The sequence below is a fragment of the Homo sapiens genome, chromosome 22 (genome assembly GCF_000001405.40).
Source record: "Homo sapiens chromosome 22, GRCh38.p14 Primary Assembly".
NCBI lineage: Eukaryota > Metazoa > Chordata > Mammalia > Primates > Hominidae > Homo > Homo sapiens.
In genome coordinates, this window is record NC_000022.11 from 50,429,097 (window position 1) to 50,447,244 (window position 18,148).

Genomic DNA, 18,148 nt, shown 5'->3' on the forward strand with positions numbered 1-18,148 from the left:
CTTGGCTCACGGCAACCGCCGCCTCCTGGGCTCAGGCGATTCTCCTGCCTCAGCCTCCCAAGTAGCTGGGATTACAGGCGTGTGCCACCATGCCCGGCTAATTTTTGTATTTTCAGTAAAGATGGGGTTTCACCACGTTGGCCAGGCTGGTCTTGAACTCCTGACCTCAGGTGATCCACCCTCCTCGGCCTCCCAAAGTGTTGGGATTACAGGCATGAGCCACCGCACCTGGCCGTATGTGGAATTTTATCAGATTTTTTTTGTATGAGTTGAGATGATCATTTGGCTTTCGTCCTTTATCCTGTTAATGTGGTGTATTGATTGATTTTCATACGTCGATCCATCCTTGCATTTGAGGAGCAAATCCCACTTTATCCTGGTATATAATTCTTTTGATATGATGCTAAGTTTGGTTTGCTAGTATTTTGCATCCATGTTGATAAGGAACATTGGTTTGTAGTTTTCTTTTCTTGTAGTGTCCTCATTCAGCTTTGGTATCAGAGGTAATTCTGTCCTCACAGAATGAATTAGAAAGTATTCTCTCTTAGTTTTTTGGAAGAGTTTGAGAAGGATTAGTGTTAACTCTTCTTTAAATGTTTGGTAGACCTCATCGCCAGGAAAGGAAAAACAAACAACAAAATAAATGTTTGGTAGAATTTACCAGCAAAGCCATCTGGTACGGGCTTTTTGTTGAGAGGTAGGTCTGACTCCATGTTACAGATGAGGTGACACAGGAAAGCCTCCTCCAAGGTTGCTCAAGGTCACATGGGCAGAGAAGGTGAAGCCAGGATTTAGGACTACGTTTCTGTGGAGAACATGAAGCAAATGAGCCTCCTGCCTTTCTCTAGCTCCAACCCCACTGTGTGGAACGAGGAGCCCAAGCTCGAATCCTGGTGTGGAATATACACCTCACCCCATTCCCCTCTCCATACAGTCCTCCTTCTCCATGGAGGCAGAAGAGGGTCTGGGACACAGGCTGCCGTGGCCCTGGAATGTAAGAGACGGCAGTGGGGGGCGAGTGCGTCAGACCTATGTCCCCCTCTCTGTCCTCATCTGGAAGAAGCTACATGGGAGGTGAGAGATGGCAGCTGTCCTCGTTCAGCCACCTCTGTCCCCCAGGGGAGTATCTAGGTGGCCAGAACCACCTCTGGGCTTCAGCCCATGCTGGTTAAGTCTGGGCTCCCTTGGGGAGTGTCTGAATGTGCCCCTCACAGTCTCACGTTTGTGTGGTGGACGATATGCACACGCCTGCCCATCCTGGGTGGAATCCTCATGTGCTTGAGAGTCTAACACACTTCCAATAATTCATGAGAAAGACAGAATCATAAAGGAACTTCTCACATACTTAGAACTGAAGAATCATAAAAATACTACTTAGCAAAATGTGTAGAATGTAGTTAAAGTTGATTGTATACAGGGAAATGTAGCCTTTAAAGACAGACTGGAAAGAAAGGCTGCAATTAATGAGTTGAGCTTCCAACTGAAGGACAAAAGAAGCCAGGCCTGGTGACTTATGCCTGTCATCCCAGCACTTTGGGAGGCGGAGGCGGGCAGATCACCTGAGGTTGGAAGTTCAAGACCAGCCTGACCAACATGGCAAAATCCCGTCTCTACTAAAAATACAAAAATTAGCTGGGCATGGTGGTGGGCACCTGTAATCCCAGCTACCAGGGAGGCTGAGGCAGGAGAATCACTTGAACCCAGGAGGCAGGGGTTGCAGTGAGCCGAGATCGTGCCACTGCACTCTAGCCTGGGAGACAAAGCAAGACTCCGTCTCAAAAAAAAAAAAAAAAAAGAATAAACCCGCAGAAAGTAGAAAGGTGATGATTCAGATTGAAGCAGAGACCAACAGACACCCACAGGCAGGAGGCAGAAGTGCTCAGTGGCTATTTGAAGAAGCTCCGTAATAGAGAGATGACCCTCAGGAAAACGCTTAAAACTCCTTCCTAGCTACCCAGAGACTGGACTTGTGAGGAGTTAGGACGCCACCTTTAGGAAGGGTTTCCCTCAGCTTTGTGGTGTAGCCGGCAGGAGAAAACCGATCTAAGAACTGTCTTCTGTCCTCTGTTTACCCAGGACTTGTTCTTTAAGTACACCTGGAATAACTTTTTGCACTTCCAAGTGGAACTATGCATAGCCGCTATTCTCTCCCACGCTGCCCGTGAGGAGAGGACAGAAGCCAGCGGATCCGAGAGCAGGGTGGAGCCTCCGCATGAGAACGGGAACCGGAGCCTGGAGACTCCCCAGCCGGCCGCCAGCCTCCCTGACAACACAATGGTGACCCACGTGAGTCCAAGAAGCATCCATCTTATCAGCGCCAACTGCGCCCCACTCAGACCGTGTCCATGTCAGCGCTGACGTGTGCCGGACCTCACTGTGCAGCTGACACGGGGGCAGGGCTTTGAAAAGGGTCCCCAGGTGTCTGGTCAGACGCTCGTAGACAGTGGGGCTTGAGTGGGTCTTGCAGATCTCATTCCTACCTGCCTTCAGCAGGGGTACTGGTGCCTTCCACGTGCAGGCCTGGCAAGGGTTAGCACTGGATGAGATGAGTTCAGTCTGGCCTCCAGCTGGAGGCCCAGGGAATAAATGCCCAGGGAGCCAGCAGTGTCAGTGATGGGAGCCACACGGTGGGGAGGGGATGCTGAGGGACATGCAGGCCAACCAGGGACTGTCACCCGGATAGCAAGGCCACAGGTATATCGTAGTGTGAGGTGGAGCCCAGGAAAAACATCTCAGGTACAAGAAGTGATCTGTGTCAGGGCCTGGAGGTGAGAGAAAGTGCTGAGGGCAGACAGCCCTAGTCGTTCTTCCGGACACAGAGAAAGAGGGCAGGAGAGTGGCCAAAGTGGAGGGCAATGGAGAGACGGGGAGAAGGCCCAGGGGAAGACAGGGGTCAGGGGGCAATTCCAGGAGTTGGAGGAGAAGGGAGAGGGTCCTTTTCTCGGGCTTCATCTTTAGGGCGCTCAGCAGTATGAGCCCCGAACCGCACCCTCCTCTGGTGTTTGGTGAGGACCGCGGAGGCTGGGGCTGTGCGTGCGCAGCAGTCAGGGCCTGCAAAGTCCACACAGACGTGGCCGCCAGCCAGCCCTGCCCAGTCCAGGGATGGGTGGAGGGGTGCGTGCCGCCTTCAGACCCTGACTCACGCTGTCCCCCTGCCCCGCCCCCCAGCTGTTCCAGAAGTGCTGCCTGGTGCAGAGGATCCTGGAGGCCTGGGAAGCCAACGACCACACGCAGTAAGAGCCGCTCGGACGTGGAGGGACCCAGCCTGGCCAGTCAGGGATGCAGAGACGCACCTCACCCAAGCCCTGGTGACGCTGCGTGCAGGACTGCAGGATCGGGTGGAGTGTAGGGTGTGCGACGTGGCTCCACGTTCTGGGGCTGCTGTGCAAGGGGCCCTTCTACTGGGCGGACAGCTGCAAATGCTACTTGGGGAGGGGACACAGGGAGCCGACAGGAAGCGGTCCCGTCCCCACCAGGCACCTGCTCTGGCCCCCGCCCAGCCTGGCTTTGCCCTCTTGTGGGTCCGCTGTCCGTTCCTGATCTTCCCCAGGAACTCGGGCCCTCCGTCAGCACTCGCACACAGGGACGCGTTATTTTGGTCTTTCCATCTTCTGCTTAATGGGTGCTCCCTCTGGTCAGGACACATGTCCCGCTTATTGTCGTGGGCCCAGAGCCATCCCCACCCGTTTGCTGTCCTGCTGGGAACTGTCTGGCTCTGGGCGATATGAGGAGGGACTCCAGGGAGCTGGGAGGGGTCTGAGTGCAGCTGTGGGGAAGCAGAGGCCGAGCTGGGCTGTACAGCATGGAGGTCCCGCCCAACCCTCCCCTTGGGGTGCTGAGCCTGAGCTTGGTAGCTGGCAGCATGGGCTCACCTCCTGCGCCACTGCTGCCACCAGCGGGACTTAGGCCACGCCACGGCCTTTCTGCCTCCATTTCCCTGTCTGTAAAATGGAGTGAGAGCAGTGTCTGTTTCCTCATCTGTCTCAGTGGCACTTTTGGTAGTGAGGTTGGGGTGAGCCTGCTGCACGTGGCAGGTGCTACTCAAACAGAAGTGTCCTGGAGGAGGGCAGGGGGCGCGGACACTGGGCAGGGGCCGGGCATTTGCTCTGGAGGTGAACCTGGAGGAGGGCAGGGGGCGCGGACGCTGGGCAGGGGCCGGGCATTTGCTCTGGAGGTGAACCTGGAGGAGGGCCGGGGGCATGGATGCTGGGCAGGGGCCGGGCACTTGCCCTGGAGGTGAACCTGGAGGAGGGCTGGGGGCGCGGACGCTGGGCAGGGGCCGGGCATTTGCTCTGGAGGTGAACCTGGAGGAGGGCTGGGGGCATGGATGCTGGGCAGGGGCCGGGCACTTGCCCTGGAGGTGAACCTGGAGGAGGGCTGGGGGTGCGGACGCTGGGCAGGGGCCGGGCATTTGCTCTGGAGGTGAACCTGGAGGAGGGCTGGGGGCGCGGACGCTGGGCAGGGGCCGGGCATTTGCTCTGGAGGTGAACCTGGAGGAGGGCCGGGGGCATGGATGCTGGGCAGGGGCCGGGCATTTGCTCTGGAGGTGAACCTGGAGGAGGGCCGGGGGCATGGATGCTGGGCAGGGGCCGGGCATTTGCTCTGGAGGTGAACCTGGAGGAGGGCCGGGGGCGCGGACGCTGGGCAGGGGCCAGGCATTTGCCCTGGAGGTGAACCTGGAGGAGGGCCGGGGGCATGGATGCTGGGCAGGGGCCGGGCATTTGCCCTGGAGGTGAACCTGGAGGAGGGCCGGGGGCATGGATGCTGGGCAGGGGCCGGGCATTTGCTCTGGAGGTGAACCTGGAGGAGGGCCGGGGGCGCAGACGCTGGGCAGGGGCCGGGCATTTGCTCTGGAGGTGAACCTGGAGGAGGGCCGGGGGCATGGATGCTGGGCAGGGGCCGGGCATTTGCTCTGGAGGTGAACCTGGAGGAGGGCCGGGGGCGCGGACGCTGGGCAGGGGCCGGGCATTTGCCCTGGAGGTGAACCTGGAGGAGGGCCGGGGGCATGGATGCTGGGCAGGGGCCGGGCATTTGCTCTGGAGGTGAACCTGGAGGAGGGCCGGGGGCGCAGACGCTGGGCAGGGGCTGGGCATTTGCTCTGGAGGTGAACCTGGAGGAGGGCTGGGGGCATGGATGCTGGGCAGGGGCCGGGCACTTGCCCTGGAGGTGAACCTGGAGGAGGGCCGGGGGCATGGATGCTGGGCAGGGGCCGGGCATTTGCTCTGGAGGTGAACCTGGAGGAGGGCCGGGGGCATGGATGCTGGGCAGGGGCCGGGCATTTGCCCTGGAGGTGAACCTGGAGGAGGGCCGGGGGCGCGGACGCTGGGCAGGGGCCGGGCATTTGCTCTGGAGGTGAACCTGGAGGAGGGCCGGGGGATGGATGCTGGGCAGGGGCCGGGCATTTGCCCTGGAGGTGAACCTGGAGGAGGGCCGGGGGCGCGGACGCTGGGCAGGGGCCGGGCATTTGCCCTGGAGGTGAACCTGGAGGAGGGCCGGGGGCATGGATGCTGGGCAGGGGCCGGGCATTTGCTCTGGAGGAGGGCCGGGGGCATGGATGCTGGGCAGGGGCCGGGCACTTGCCCTGGAGGTGAACCTGGAGGAGGGCCGGGTGCGCGGACACTGGGCAGGGGCCGGGCACTTGCCCTGGAGGTGAACCTGGAGGAGGGCCGGGGGCATGGATGCTGGGCAGGGGCCGGGCATTTGCTCTGGAGGTGAACCTGGAGGAGGGCCGGGGGCGCGGACACTGGGCAGGGGCCGGGCACTTGCTCTCCGAAGTGAACCTGGAGGCCTCTGCCACTTGGCTCTCTGGGTCGTGGGTCTGGCAAGGTCGGGGCCAGGAGGCCGCCCCGATGGTGCCTGTTGCTTTCAGGGCAGCGGGTGGCATGAGACGTGGGAACATGGGCCACCTCACACGGATCGCCAACGCGGTGGTGCAGAACCTGGAGCGGGGCCCTGTGCAGACGCACATCAGCGAGGTCATCCGAGGTGAGCCCCCAACCCGGTCATCCTTCTGCTGGTCGCGGGCACCGGGACCCCGAAGGAGCTGCCGCCTGAGACTAAGCTCTGCCCGGCAGCAGGTGCTGACTGCACTGACAGTGAGAGACCCATGGCCACCTCTGTCCTCTCACTTCACACATCACATCTCTCCTCGTGGGGGCCTGGGTCTCATGTGTCAGTTCTATTGGGCGGACTTCTGTGGAGACCCTGCCAGGCGTCAGCGTGTGGCACAAGAGACAGTCCCTCCCGGGGTAGTTGGTGACTCCGGAGCTGGCACTCAGAAGCCGTTAGCGCCACCGGGCTCCTTGCAGCTCAGGGAGCCCTGCCTGGCTAGGCTGTCCTGGCTGTGTGCTCTGCACTCAGGTGATTGGAGAGTCTCATTCTCACTCAGGTGTGAGATTTCGTAGCACAAGTCTCAGGGGAGCAGGTTGCAGCCTGTTTCTTAAGAACGCAGTGGGTTAGGTGGGCGCAGGCACAGCACATGTGTGGCAGAGGCGGGCCCAGCTGTGGCCTCTCCTCCCTATACCCGTGTAAGGTGAGGAAGCTCTGGATAGTCCTCCCCGCACCCCAGGACCATAGTGAGGGGACTCCTGGGTTGGGCTCCATTAGCCCCTGGCGAGGTCAGGCCTGCCGGCTGCCATCACAAATAATAAAAGCAGGGCAGGAGGAGCTTCCCCACATCCTGGAGGGCAAAGTAGATGGGTGGAGGTGGAGGCCAGGGACAGCTCCCCAGGGCAGGGGCAGTTTAAGGAGGCGAGGGGCAAGCAGGAAGCTGTTGGATCATTCCATACGATCTCCAGATTGTGAATCCTTCCAGGACTCTGACCTCCCCGGAAAAACAGGCAGGACACGCGCCCAGGCCTGTAGGCTGCTGCTGAGTTTGGGCCTGTGAGGTGGGGGGAAGGAAGCTGGCTGCTTTCTCAGATTCTGTTCCACGGCTTCTGCGTTTCTGGGAGTTCCTCAGAATGGGCTTCCACCCAACAGACTTGGAACTCAGATGCCCACTGGGGTTTCGGTAGGGGCAGAAGTGCCCACCACCCTGCCCACAGGTGCTGCACCTCAATCTCACTGTGGCCCCAGGCCCCTCCGGACACGCGGCTATGCTGCCTCTTTCTCATCCGGCAAAGCCCCTGCTTCAGGCCCTCAGACGGGCTGACCACAGTAGCAGCGCCCCATCCTCCCGGACCCAGGATGCACCTGCCGGAGCCCCCGGGTGCCCTGCACCATCTGCACGGGGTCTCCCAGGGCTCACCAGGCAGCACTTCCCTTGCAGGGCTCCCTGCGGACTGCCGTGGCCGCTGGGAGAGCTTCGTGGAGGAGACGCTGACGGAGACGAACCGCAGGAACACTGTGGACCTGGTGAGGAGGCTCGGGGCTGCCCCCTCGGTGCACGCACGGTGCTGGGACGCCGTCAGACGCTCCTGCCTTTGCCCTGAGGCAGAGGCCAAGGGAGGCACAAGGGCCGCACGCCTGCCTGCTCCTCTTGACTATGCGGTGCCCCTGCATAGTGTGTCCTCCGGGCTGATGTCCGTAACAGAGACCCCGTCCTGTGCCACACCCAGGGCTGGGTCTCTGAGGACCTCTGTGCAGAGCCGGTGTTGGCCTCAGGTCCCTTTCCTCCCACTCCAGGAGCTGTAGCTTGTTGGCAGAGGGCTCCTTTTGCCTGAGACCCACAACCTGCCCCCTGCACATGGAGGTCGGGCTGTCACGGGGCCTTGGCCTCACCTAGGCACCTCCTTACACAGCACGGCCTCCTGGGCCCAGAGATCTGATGAGTGATGTGCTGGGTGGGGTCTGGGAGCCCTGGGCTGGGCATGGTCCTGGGCGCTGGGCTGGGTGGGGTCTGGGGCGCTGGGCTGGCTCACACGCCCACCCCATCTGGCCTGTGTTTTAGGTGAGCACTCACCACCTTCACTCCTCAAGTGAGGACGAGGACATTGAGGGTGCTTTCCCTAACGAGCTGTCCCTTCAGCAGGTGAGGGCGTGGCCGGCACCTGCACCCTGCCGGGCCCTTCCCGGCACCTGTGTGCGCTGCGCTTGGTCCTCCAGACGAGTCTGATGGCATCTCACTAGCAAAGGGGAGCGGGGGCTCGTCTCCGAGCACGTATGGGGCGGGGTGGGTCTGAAGGGAGAACCCCAAAGTCACTCCACCTTGATGAGAGCACTGAGGACACGGCAGATGGACTCGAAAGTCAGAGAATATGGGGCGTATCTCAGATGTGACCGCAGCGAGCGCGCAGCCTGAGTTTTGGTAGAATCGTGAGCCCTGAACAGAGTTTACTGCCCACTTGTGCTGGAGGAGAAGCTCCCGAACAACTAGAGAGATTGTGGTTCCCAAAGAGCAGCCTCCAGGCCTGATGCCTCCTCCATGACCGGTGTCTGTCCGTCCCTCCCTCCCTCCCTCCCTCCCAGGCCTTCTCTGACTACCAGATCCAGCAGATGACAGCCAACTTCGTGGATCAGTTTGGCTTCAATGATGAGGAGTTTGCCGACCAGGACGACAACATCAAGTGAGTCTACTTGGAGCGCACTCTGCACGAGGCGCGGCTCTCCCTGCTGCTGAGCTCCCGTGGAGGCAGCTCCCTGAGGTCTTGCCGGGAGTGCCGTCTGATGTCCCCGGGAGACAGCAGGTGTTCCCAGTTGTGTGAGGGTGCTGAGGCCCCCGATGAGCACCGGGGGAGGAGCACTGAGGCCCCAGATGAGCAGTGGGCCTGGAGGAACGCTGAAGCCATCCCCCTTGCTCTTGCAGTGCCCCGTTTGACAGGATCGCAGAGATCAACTTCAACATCGACGCTGACGAGGACAGTGTGAGCAAGCCGGGCTGTGTGGGGTGCCGCCACCCTTTTCCCAGGCAGCTCAGGCCATGCCCATGGCTCGGTCTGTCATGGGCCTGTGCGGTGGGGCTGGGAGAGGCCCCTCTGTGGAGCTCGGAACAGTCGCTTTCCTTGCCCCTCCCCGTCCTCCCCTCCAGCCCGGGGCTCCCACATCCCGAACTAAGCCCCTCTGGGAGCTCTATGGGGAGAGCGGCTCCTGTCTCCCCCAGACCCTCTGGAAACTCACCTTGGCGTTTTACTCTGCAGCCCAGCGCAGCTCTGTTTGAGGCCTGCTGCAGTGACCGCATCCAGCCCTTTGATGATGATGAGGACGAGGACATCTGGGAGGACAGTGACACTCGCTGTGCTGCCCGGGTGATGGCCAGACCCAGGTGCGGGGCCTGCCCATCCCCACAAAGCCTCTGCCGAGGAGGTTCAGCCCCCAGAACACCTGTCAGACGCCCTGTGGTTCGTTAGCTGGCTTGCAGAGCAGCCACACCTGTCCTGCCAGCTCTGGGGCCCAATGCAGCGGGTGACCCTAAGGAGCCCAGAGCTGAGGCCTGGAGCGTCTCGTGCTCCTCTCTCGAGACGATCTGTGCTCACCCTCAGCCCCGAGCCTGGGGCCGCCACTGACCCTCCATGTTAGGCGTCCGTCCTGGGCCACCAGACATCTGACTCTGAATCTCCCCCAGGTTTGGAGCCCCCCATGCTTCAGAGAGTTGCTCAAAGAATGGCCCAGAGCGTGGAGGCCAGGATGGGAAGGCGAGCTTGGAAGCACACAGAGATGCACCTGGGGCAGGTGCCCCACCGGCCCCCGGGAAGAAGGAAGCGCCCCCTGTGGAGGGTGACTCAGAAGGTGGTGCTGGGCGCCAGGGGCTGGGAGTGTGGGTATCGGGGACAGGACATGGTACCCCGGCCTGGGTGTTGTGGAGGCTTCATTTGGAGCTGAGGCATTTGGGGCTCACTGTGGCCCGGAGCCTGAATCCCCAGCTATTTCCCAGCCGTCCTGAGTAGGGGTCTGTGCTGCGCTGTGCCCAGCGCAAGGTGGCCTCCTGCCCCTGCCTTGCAGTTGTGGTCACTCAGCCACGTTGCCAAGGCTGGTGGGTGGTGTCCACCTAGTCTCCATCGTCCGTCCAGCCCCCACACAGTCAGGCACAGGCCTGACGCCCTCCCCAGCACAGCAGCACAGGCCGGCCGCCACCTTCATGGCCGACATCTATGGCAGGAGCCAGTCCACCTCACAGGCCGCATGGCTGATGAGACCCCTCTCCTTACCCTGCCCTGGGGGCAGCACTGAGGCACTCAGGACTTTGGTGGCGGGGGCAGAGATCTCTGTTAGGAGGGGCTGAGCTCTTCGCTGACAGAGCAAGGGTGACACCCTGGGGAAGCAGGAACATCCCAGATAGGAGGAAGACACCCCATCCTCGAGGCCAGGAAGGGGCCAGTGGTGCTCGGTGAGCTGCCGGCTCTGTGGGTTGCGGTCCTGGGTAGGACAGGGCAGTGGCATCACCTCCACACTGTCAGTGTCAGTCCTGCTGGAGGCCTGGGGGCCCTCAGGCACCTGACTGAGCCCCAGGTCACACGCCCCATGGGTGTCGGCAGCTTGTCAGGACCCTCGAGCTGTCCCCTGTTGCTCCTTGAGGGGCTGACGGGCACTGCCTGGGCCTCCCTCCTGGAGCAGCCCCATCTTCCTGTCAACCTCTGAGGGGCTCCCGGGGCAGGGGCGCTGCCTCCCCTTTGCCTGCAGCACCCCAGGCCTGCCCACGCCTGACCACTGTGTCTCTCCCCCAGCAGGCGCCATGTGGACGGCAGTGTTTGATGAGCCAGCGAACTCAACGCCCACAGCCCCAGGAGTGGTGAGGGACGTGGGTTCCAGTGTGTGGGCAGCTGGCACCTCAGCTCCAGAGGAGAAAGGCTGGGCCAAGTTCACTGACTTCCAACCTTTCTGCTGGTAACAAATGCGCTGGCAGGAGGGGGCTGTGCCAGGAAGTGCCTGTCAGGGCCAGGAGGCACCTGTCCCCCAGGACTGATCCTGTCCTCGTCCTTGTATGCAGCTCCGAGTCAGGGCCCAGGTGCAGCTCTCCGGTGGACACAGAATGCAGCCATGCTGAGGGCAGCCGGAGCCAAGGCCCTGAGAAAGCCTGTGAGTAGGAGCAGTGCAGGCGGCACCCAGCCTTGCCCAGTTTAAGGCCTGAGGCCAGCTGGCCCCCCTCCTTGGGGGCAGTGGGAGGAGGTGGCCGGGGCCTCGCATGCTGCTACGTCTCTGGTGACATTGGGGTTTGATACAGCAATGGGACTGGAGCAGCCACGTGTAGATGGGGAGGCCCCCAGAGGGGAGGCAGCAAGGCCATTGGGCTGGCTCTGAGCCTGGTCTGAGTAGGTGGCACAGCTCAGGTCTGCACCCTGGATTCCGGACAGCAGCACTGGGACCCCAGCATTGAGATGTGTGTGGGTGGGTTGTTGGCAGGAAGCTGTTCTGTGGCCTGATCAGAGCCCCTGGCCCCCAGCCCCCTAGTCAGGCTCAGAAGCTCCCCCAGATAAGGCTGAGAGCTCCAGGTGAGTGACAGCTGGCTCCCAACACTGGTGTCCCCGGTTTTGGGGTCCTTTGGGCTTAAAGGAGCTGTGGCAGGACCACACGAGGCGGAGTGGGCCCCTCCCTGAGCCTCTGCGTCCTCCTGTGAGACCAGGGCATGTGTCCCTGTATCATGGGGGAGGCAACAGGGTTGTTTGTGTGGAGACCCCATGGCAGGTGCGTGAGCCTGTCTGCCTCATCATGCGGCTCCCACACAGGCACATGTGTGCAGGCAACAGGCTGCATGTGAGAGGGCCACATGTATGGGGACCCTATGGCTGGAGTGGCCGCACCCTGTGACCCCTCCTGCCTCACTGGACAGCACAGGCCTCCTACTTTGCAGTCAGCCCGGCTTCTCCATGTGCCTGGAACGTGTGTGTCACCAGGAAGGCCCCCCTGCTGGCCTCTGACAGTAGCTCCTCTGGGGGCTCCCACAGCGAGGATGGCGACCAGAAGGCAGCGAGTGCCATGGATGCGGTGAGCAGGGGTCCCGGCCGGGAGGCCCCCCCGCTGCCCACAGTGGCCAGGACAGAGGAGGCTGTCGGCAGGTGTGTGGGGCGTGGCGGGGGCGGGCCTGCCGGGTGCATAGGGCGTGGCTTCCAGGCTCTGTCCCCAGGTCTCAGCTCCCCTGAGAGGAGGTGAGGCCAGGCCAGGGTCTTCTCCACACTGCCTCCCCCATGGCCCCGTGACCCTTCAGAGGCTGGCTGAGGCGGCGGTGGTGCCCACGCGTTTACGTGGAGGCCAGATGGGAGAAGTGTGGGGCCTTCTTTCGTGGACAGAACATCGTGTTCTCTGTTGTGAGTGGTTAAGACAAGAAGACAGGGCCTGGATGTCCCAGACAGTCCCCCAGGGACTTGGGGGAGCAGCCCCTACCCCAGATCCCAGTTGGAGAGAACAGCCCAGCTCTTGGGGCTCTGGGCCTGGCTGAGCCGCCTGGGATCTGGGTACCCTGGTGGTCGGGGAGGGGCACAGACTTTTAAGTCTGGCAGGCGAGCGGGCATCTGTGGGGCTCACGCAGACCTCGCCTGCTGCTCCCCTTCCACGGGAGGCCTATGATTCCGAGACGCCTCAGAAGCAGGATAGTAGGATGGGGGGCGGCGGCCTCAGGACTGCACTGGGGGCATCCAAATCCTGACTGAGAGTTGGAGGCAGCTTGCAGGCTGGCAGAGGCCCAGGCTCCCTTGAGCCCCCAAGAGCCATCCCTGGGGAGAGAGTGGAGAGGGAGGCTCTCCCTGTGAGGAGGTTGGAGGCTGGCCGGCCCCTCCAGCAAGCTGAACCCCATCCGTCCCCAGGGCCACAGGAAGGTCCCTGGGATCCTTCAGTAAACAGATACCTCTCTGGCCTCTGGGGTCAGGGCGTGGGTTAGCAGGAGGGCAGGACCGCTGGGGTAGATGCCAGGGCCAGGTAAACCTGAGGGGGAGGGTAGGACTGGGCTTGACGTGGGGAGGAGGGCGCACCCAGCAACGGCACAGCTGTGCAAAGACCCTGAGGCCTGAGCTCCCAGTAGGTCCAGGCAACAGTGGGGAAGTCCTCGGGCTGGATTCCTCTAGGAGGGGACAAGGTGCCTTTCACATCTGGTGGTGCATCCCAGTCACTCCTGGCTCCATGGTTGTGAAGGGCCTGCCTGGAGCGGGGTGAGGGTGTCCCCCAGCCTCACCGCCCAATGCAGCTCAGCCTGCATGCGTCCCACCTGTACTACCCTTCCCCCACAGGTGGGGCAGGCCTGACACCTCAGAGGGTCCTGCTCACTGACCCCCGGCAATCCTGGAGAGTCTGTGTGGTACTGGGGCTCCGGGCATCTCCCCCAGCCAAGCTGCAAGCTCAGCACCAGGCTGGCTCTCCCCGCCCTGTTGACCAGCAGGCCCCGTCTGTGCTCACAGCTCCTCCCCTTGTTTGGCCACCCTGTCTTCAGGGCATCTGCAGCAAGTGGGGGGCACAGCACGGGAAACGGGGCCAAGGCCGTTTCCCGATGCCGGCAGTCACTGGGAAGCCCAGGCCAGAGCCCCTCGGGTTGAAAGTCATACAGAGTTCCTGTGTGGGCTTCATTCCTTCTTAAAGTTTAGTCACTGAAATTTTTGTTTGTTTGTTTGAGACAGAGTCTTGCTCTGTTGCCCAGGCTGGAGTGCAGTGGCGCAATCTTGGCTCCCTGCAACCTCCGCCTCCCGGGTTCACGCCATTCTCCTGCCTCAGTCTCCCAAGTAGCTGGGACTACAGGCATCCGCCACCACCAGGCCCGGCTAATTTTTTGTATTTTTAGTAGAGACGGGGTTTCACTGTGTTAGCCAGTATGGTCTCGATCTCCTGACCTCATGATCCGCCTGCCTCGGCCTCCCAAAGTGCTGGGATTACAGGTGTGAGCCACCGCGCCTGGCCTAGTCACTGAAATTCTTAACAGTCTTTACCCTGCCAGGCACAGTGGCTCACGCCTGTAATCCCAGCACTTTGGGAGGCCGAGGTGGGTGGATCACCTGAGGTCGGGAGTTCGAGACCAGCCTGGCCAACATGGCGAAAACCCGTCTCTACTAAAAATACAAAAATTAGCCAGGCGTGGTGGCAGGCGCCTGTAGTCCCAGCTACTTGGGAGGCTGAGGCAGGAGAATCGCTTGAACCAGTGAGCCGAGATCACGCCACTGCACTCCGGCCTGCGCATGAGAGAGACTGACTGTCGGCAAAAACAAAACCAAAACAAACCTTTACCCACTTCTCCTAAACAACCCCTAAAAAACTGCTCTGAAAAGCAGGGAATATCATTGTGCAAAGTAAGTTGTTTTTTTCCACGGGGCTGTCTGCGTAAAACTTGCCACTTAGAGCCCTGCCTGCACCGTCGTCACGGCCCAGCCTGCAGGTGAGCTTCCTCGCGCCCCCGCCTGACCTGAGTGCCCCTCCCTCAGTCAGACACAGTGTCGTCGCCCTGCAGGAAGCCAGGGGGCCCGTCTGCTGCTCGTGGCCAGGCTGGGCCTTGGGGTGCCCGACCCCCTCCAGAGCAAGCCCCTTAGATGCCCGGCAGGGTCCTCTCTACCCTCCCATCCCCTGGGAGGTTTCCCCAGACTGTGTCCAGTGTGAGGCTGAAGTTGAGATCATAGCACAGGAGGCTCTGGGGTCCTTGAAGAATGAGGCGCTTGATGATGAGCAGGATCTGAGTGCTGCCTGGAGGAGGTTTGAGGTCATCAATGGACAGGCAGCTTGTCCCAGTACTTGGAACTTGGGGCAGCAGAGCTGCCTAGCTGGGCACAACCTGGGCCACCCCACAAAGGGCAGGAGTGAGAGGGGCCAAAGATGGTGCTCCCAGGCCGCCTGGACCTTTTTGTCCAGCTGGTCCTTGGGCATGAGGCGGGGTGGCACTGAGGGTGGGGGTGCCCGTAACCGGAGTCCATGTTTGCCACACAGGGTCGGGTGTGCTGACAGCCGGCTGTTAAGCCCTGCCTGCCCCGCGCCAAAGGAAGTGACTGCTGCCCCAGCCGTGGCTGTGCCCCCCGAGGCTACTGTGGCCATCACCACAGCACTGAGCAAGGCTGGCCCCGCCATACCCACCCCAGCAGTCTCTTCTGCACTGGCCGTGGCGGTCCCCCTAGGGCCCATCATGGCAGTCACAGCAGCCCCAGCCATGGTGGCCACCCTGGGGACAGTGACAAAGGACGGGTGAGCAGGTTGAGTGTGGGGGTAGGGGGTGTGGACAGGGCCCGCAGCCCGCACGGTTCCAACCCCACCCCATTCCTGCAGGAAGACAGATGCCCCGCCAGAAGGAGCTGCCTTAAATGGCCCAGTGTGATGCTGCTGCCGCCCGGCCACGGCCCACCCTGGTCAGGCTGCCTCCTTAATCGAGAAAACTACCTGGTGATGCAATCTTTTTTTTTTTTAATTTAATTTAATTTTAAAATAAATGCTGCATTGGTAAAGCTGGCAGTTGAAACCAGTTGGACGGCCCAGCTTGCGTCTCTTCTGCCTGAGTGGGCCTCTCAGGTCACTCGTGCCCTGCTGGAGGACAGAGGGGCACCTCAGCCGCCCCCAAGCCCAGAGCACAGCAATAAGGTCGGCCTGCAGGAGCCGGGGTGGGGGTGGGGGTGGGGGGGGCAGGACCCTGAGATGCCACCAGGACCTGATGGGCCAGGAAGGGCGTGGACATGGAGGCTGTTTTTACAGTTTTTTTTTTGTTGTTGTTTTGTTTTTAAAGAATACAGAAGGAGCCAAGCTTTTTTGCACTTTGTATCCAGCTGCAAGCTCAGGGCAGAGTCAAGGGCCTGGGTTGGAAAAACCTGACTCACAGGAATGCATAATTGACCCTTGCAGCTACCCAATAGCCCTTGGAGCTGGCACTGAACCAGGCTGCAAGATTTGACTGCCTTAAAAACACAAGGCCCTCTAGGCCTGGCAGGGATGTCCCTGTGCCCAGCACAGGGTGCCTGGCAGGGGGAGACCACAGGTATGCAGGTGGGGGGACATGGTGTGGCACTAGGGGCTCGAAGACTGGTTTCTAGCACTACCGGTCACGGCCATGTCGTCCTAGAAGGGTCCAGAAGATTATTTTACGTTGAGTCCATTTTTAATGTTCTGATCACCTGACAGGGCACCCCAAACCCCCAACTCCCAATAAAAGCCGTGACGTTCGGACAAACCGCGTACTGTGAACCTTCCGGCCCCAAAGCCCCGGCCCGGCCAGGGGTGGGAGAGTCTCCTCCAGCACCTCTTTTGTGGGCCCGCCACCCCCCAGCGTTATCCCCGTGTAATGGGTGGAGGCGGAACAGGCCACATCACGGCATCAGGTCTCTACAGCTTAGCAAATACTGACATTTTTCCGTTTGGGGGATGGGGGGAACCACTTCGCCTAACGCTCAAACACATCAACCCCAGGACTTCCTTTTGTGCCAGCTCCCCCTCCCAGAAGCCTGGGCCCCACCTTGTCCTCAGTGGCTGAGTGGGAGGGGCAGGTGGAGACCAGACCCCCACCCCGCCCCAGCGAGCTTGTCTTTCCACCACGGTTGGGGGTGGAGGGAACCCGCTCAGCTCCCCAGAGGCCGAGTCTCTGCCCCAGCTACACATTGAGTGCCTTGTTCTCGCCGCCTACCCTGTGCCTGGCATTTGTCCTCTCCCCCCACAGACGTGGAACAGGGAGGGCAGGGTCCTTTCTCCCCTTACTCTGACCTGTGGGTTTTCCAGGTGCCAGGAACTTCGGTCAGGCGCCATCTGTCCGGCCTGAGGGAAGACCTGGCTGGTTTCAGTGGCTCAAGTGAGCCCACCCTCACATCTCGCCCAGGTGTCCCAACACCACCTGTGGGGTGGGGGAGGTGGCGGGACCATGCTGGGCCTGACAGGGTCCAAGGCCATCCTTGGCTTCAACGTCCCACCAGGGGAGGGTCTTGGCCCCCCACCTGCCAGCACTGGGCCCTGCCTCTGCAGCTGTCATCAGAACCTTCCCCTCACCCACACCTGCTGCTCGCCTCCCACCTGAGAGGACCACCTGAGGGACCCAGCCTCTAGCCAGGTTCTCTGCCCCTCACCAGCCCCTCTGGCCAGGTCACCAGCTGCCACTCTCAGATGTTCTCTTGGCCTTTGCAGCGTCTATAACCCTCCCCACCTTCTGCTCCTGCACCCCTGGCCAGGCCTCGTCACAGGCAAGGACACAACAGCTCAGCAGGTGAAGCCCTGGGCCTGGTGGGACTCAGGTTTGAATAGGAAAAGAGCAGTGAGGGGCCACAGTGACACCAAGAAGGGAAGGACGGGGGCCCTCTGAGACCCCAGGGAAAGGACTTTTGGGGCAGAATTCCCAAGAACTGAGAGGGTCCATCCCCCATGGGCGTTGGCCCCTTACTCTGCCAGATGCTGCTCGTTGCCTGGCAGGAGCCAGATGTGGTCAACCTGCATTCCCCTGGGAGCCCACTGTCCCCCCCCCCCCCCCGCCTCCGGCCTCCATCCCTTCAGCTCGGGTCTAGCCAGAAACTGACGTCCACCTCAAGTGTCCTCTGGACCTGCAACAGCCTTCTGGGGTCAAATGACCACCCACCCTTTCACCCCCAAGCCTCTGTGAGGTCAGCTTCTGCATCCCCTGGGTAGGGATGGGGGCTTCCTCTCCAGCCGTGCCGGCCCCTAGACCAGCCCTGAGGCGTGGAGGGAATCAAGCAAGTCCCCAGTGAAGCCTCCTGCTCGATCCGCCCCCAGAGCAAAGTCACTCCCAGGGACATGCAGGCCGAGCTGGGTGGACCCAGGCACCAGGAGAGGCTCACGAGAAAGATGCCAACCTCCCGCCAGGTGGGCCTGGATAGGGGCAGATGGGACCCTCTGGGTAGGCCGAGAGCAGGCAGCCGGGGAGTGGGGAAGGCAGGCACAGGAGCGTGGCGTTAGTTCTCTCTTTATATAGACTCTGGTTCTAGAAACTCGCCTGCAGCCGCTGGCTGGACCAGCACACGCTGACGGGGCCGGACTATTTACAGGCCCATTGCGGGCTGTACCTTGGCCACCTCCCGGCACGGTGCTCAGCTGTGACGCCAAAATAAGTTAGGGCCGGCCGGGCGGGGCGGGGCGGGGACGGGGGCTGTACACACAAGTGCTGGGGGCTCGGGGCCTCAATACTGTCGAGGGCCGGGGCTGTAAACATGGCCGGGGCGGCCCTGCCCACCCCTAGTGGTCGGTAACGACCGGAAGCAGAGCAGCCGGGCAGGGCTGGGAGGCTCAGGCGTCCGACAGGCAGCTCTGGATCCGGTCCACCCACTGCTGGGCCGAGGGCACGTCCTGGGCACAGAAGTTGTAAACGCGACGCGTTGTCTTCACCTGG

The 18,148-nt window shown here is 61.5% G+C and overlaps 2 protein-coding genes across 65 annotated transcripts in view, besides 2 other annotated features; one reads left to right on the forward strand and one right to left on the reverse strand.

Annotated features, from left to right (window-relative positions):
• Nucleotides 1-15,994, forward strand: part of PPP6R2 (protein phosphatase 6 regulatory subunit 2) — a 114,317-nt gene extending 98,323 nt beyond the window's left edge. For 14 of the 61 annotated variants that reach the window (XM_047441654.1, XM_047441645.1, XM_017029120.2 and 11 more), the window contains 14 exons: nucleotides 2,077-2,286; nucleotides 3,169-3,233; nucleotides 5,870-5,985; nucleotides 7,271-7,356; nucleotides 7,892-7,972; nucleotides 8,410-8,507; nucleotides 8,747-8,804; nucleotides 9,078-9,202; nucleotides 9,503-9,666; nucleotides 10,605-10,761; nucleotides 10,865-10,953; nucleotides 11,726-11,930; nucleotides 14,770-15,021; nucleotides 15,103-15,994. In XM_047441654.1, coding sequence (XP_047297610.1) covers nucleotides 2,077-2,286; nucleotides 3,169-3,233; nucleotides 5,870-5,985; nucleotides 7,271-7,356; nucleotides 7,892-7,972; nucleotides 8,410-8,507; nucleotides 8,747-8,804; nucleotides 9,078-9,202; nucleotides 9,503-9,666; nucleotides 10,605-10,761; nucleotides 10,865-10,953; nucleotides 11,726-11,930; nucleotides 14,770-15,021; nucleotides 15,103-15,151 — 1,755 coding nt within the window. In that variant the 3' untranslated portion in view covers nucleotides 15,152-15,994. Of the gene's footprint in view, nucleotides 1-2,076; nucleotides 2,287-3,168; nucleotides 3,234-5,869; nucleotides 5,986-7,270; nucleotides 7,357-7,891; nucleotides 7,973-8,409; nucleotides 8,508-8,746; nucleotides 8,805-9,077; nucleotides 9,203-9,502; nucleotides 9,667-10,601; nucleotides 10,762-10,864; nucleotides 10,954-11,704; nucleotides 11,931-14,769; nucleotides 15,030-15,102 lie in introns of those variants that run through there. The other 47 variants (XM_011530737.3, XM_011530732.3, XM_011530736.4 and 44 more) reach the window with 9 other exon arrangements.
• Nucleotides 14,957-15,126: an enhancer, noted in NCBI's record as "active region_19319". NCBI's record gives its function as "activates an Ori minimal core promoter by ATAC-STARR-seq in GM12878 lymphoblastoid cells {active_cell/tissue: GM12878}" and the evidence as "EXISTENCE:reporter gene assay evidence [ECO:0000049][PMID:35858748]".
• Nucleotides 15,505-16,351: an enhancer, noted in NCBI's record as "H3K4me1 hESC enhancer chr22:50883030-50883876 (GRCh37/hg19 assembly coordinates)". NCBI's record gives its function as "activates a minimal SCP1, AML or CMV promoter by ChIP-STARR-seq in primed H9 embryonic stem cells {active_cell/tissue: H9 hESC(primed)}" and the evidence as "EXISTENCE:reporter gene assay evidence [ECO:0000049][PMID:30033119]".
• The window catches only part of SBF1 (SET binding factor 1), a 30,036-nt gene continuing 27,791 nt past the window's right edge, over nucleotides 15,904-18,148 (reverse strand). For all 4 annotated transcript variants that reach the window (NM_001410795.1, NM_002972.4, NM_001365819.1 and 1 more), the window contains one exon: nucleotides 15,904-18,144. In NM_001410795.1, coding sequence (NP_001397724.1) covers nucleotides 18,046-18,144 — 99 coding nt within the window. In that variant the 3' untranslated portion in view covers nucleotides 15,904-18,045. The remainder of the gene's footprint in view (nucleotides 18,145-18,148) is intronic.